Genomic DNA, 2184 nt, shown 5'->3' on the forward strand with positions numbered 1-2184 from the left:
ACAGCAAGAGCCAGAGAGAGGAAAGTGGAGGTGCTGGGGGGGAAATGACAGAGAGAGGAGGCCTAGCAGGGGCTGTGCGGTTAAGGGCAGGTGCTTGGGAGACCCCAGACCTGGGCTGGGGCTTTGACTCTGCCCCTGTGAGCTGTTGACTCACCTCTGAGAGCCTCCACTCCTTACCTGGTGCAATGGGAGTCTGAGTAACAGGGCTTCGCTCATCTGGGGAGGGGACAGAGCCCCTTTCCATGATGCGAGAGGGAGAACAGGAGTCAGATCTGTGTAAAGTACTTTGGCAGAGCCCTGCATGTAGTAAGTGCTCAATAAATTGGAGGTGAAAATTGAGAAAGAGTTGGGAAGTGGGAAATGGAATGCCAGAGTGTGAGTGGATGGGGGTCGCCCCCATGGACAGAAACTCTCGCTCCACAGCACTCCCTTCCCTGTAGCCTTGGAACAACCCCCTTCCTGTCCCTGCATGGCTTCAGCTTGAGGCCACCAGCACAGACCTTGGCCTGGCCTTGCCTGTCTTGGGGCCCAACCCCCTGCTTATGGGTTCAAGAAGGCCATGATCCCAAGGCCATCGCGTCACCAAAGCCAAGCAAGGCCAGACCCTGGTCACTTCTGGCTTTCCAGCCTCGTCACCCCTCAGCCGCTTAATTGTTAAATGGCCTGGCAGGGCTGAGGGACTGAGCCAGCCGCCTGTCTGGGTGGGGGCAGCCGTTCCCGCATGTCCTCCATTAGTGCAGGGGCACACACGCCAGAGGCCTCAGGTAGCACTTGCTGAGGTGAGGATGCAAAGATCCCTTTCTCTAGCTCCCACTATTCCCAGAAGCCTTCATCAGCCTCAGCCTCGGCCTCAAATTCTCACTGTGTGCCAGGCATGCTTCTGAGCGCTTCACAGGATTAATCTACTTAATCCTCCTGACAGCCCCAAGAGATGAAGTGCTAACATTATCTCATTTTACAGATGAAGACGCTGAGGCTCAGAGAGCTGGAGTCACTGGTCCAAGCCCACCTGCTAAGGAGTGGCAGGGCCAGGCAGCCACTTAACCACAGAGCAGCTACGATTCCCTGCACAACTTGAGCAGCAGCCTGTGCCGGGTGGCAACACAAGCGCCCGGATCATCTGACCAGGGAGCAGTCCTTGGCTGGGAGTGATTTTGCCCCCACAGGAGATATTAGGCTATATGTGGGGACATTTGGGGTTGTCACAACTGGAGAGAAGTTACTGGCATCTGATGGGTGGAGGCCAGGGATGCTGTTCAGTGCCCTACAGTGCACAAGACAACCCCCATAGCAGAGAATTATCCAGCTCCAAATGTCAGTAGCACCAAAGTTAAGAACCTTCTATAAGGTAAATTCTATTACAATCTCCATGTTATAAATGTGGAAACTGAGGCACAGAGAGAGGGTGGGACTATAAGGTAAGTTCTGTTACAATCTCCATGTTATAGATGTGGAAACTGAGGCACAGAGAGAGGGTGCCACTTGCACAAGAAGCCCACTTCATGCCCTGCTCTTCCATAAGACCCCACTGCCAATCTGCATTAAGACACCCCTGCCTCCATTCGAGGCCTTCTGAGTCCTCACTTGCTCAGTACAGACAATGCTTCGCATCCTCTCAATATATGAAGGTCATCTTAGTCATTGACAGAAAAAAAAGATCAAGCCACAAAGTCACTGGGAATGTACGAATGCCTTAAAATGAATTTATATTTTATTCATGGCAGCATTGAGGGACATTTGAAATAAACCAAATATGGATTCATGGAGCAAGTATTTTCTGAGCACCTACTAAGTGCCAGGCCCTGTCCATGGTGCTGGAGATACAGCCGAGAACCAGACAGATCCAGCCCCTCCTGGGTCTTTAGGAGGTGACAGTCTGGTGGGGAAGGCAGATGATAGACAAGAAAACAAACACACAACCAAGGTCACTTTTGACTGTGTGAAATGCAACTGTGGGGCAGGAGAAGGGCCGTTCTAGGGAGGGTGATGTCCAACAGGGCCTCTCTGAGAAGATGAGACCCAAAGGAAGAGAAAGGTCCAGTCTTAGGAAGAGGCAGGAATGAAAAGTTCCAGGCAACAGAGCACGTGCAGTGGCTCACATCTGTAATCCCAACACTTTGGGAGGCTGAGGCAGGTGGATCACCTGAGGTCAGGAGTTCGAGACCAGCCTGGCCAACATGGTGA

General features: G+C 52.4%; 1 annotated feature.

Annotated features, from left to right (window-relative positions):
• Positions 1749–1949: a silencer, noted in NCBI's record as "peak4252 fragment used in MPRA reporter construct". NCBI's record gives its function as "represses an SCP1 promoter by STARR-seq MPRAs in K562 erythroleukemia cells {active_cell/tissue: K562}" and the evidence as "EXISTENCE:reporter gene assay evidence [ECO:0000049][PMID:32103011]".

Source organism: Homo sapiens, chromosome 20 (genome assembly GCF_000001405.40).
Source record: "Homo sapiens chromosome 20, GRCh38.p14 Primary Assembly".
NCBI classification, from domain to species: Eukaryota; Metazoa; Chordata; class Mammalia; order Primates; family Hominidae; genus Homo; species Homo sapiens.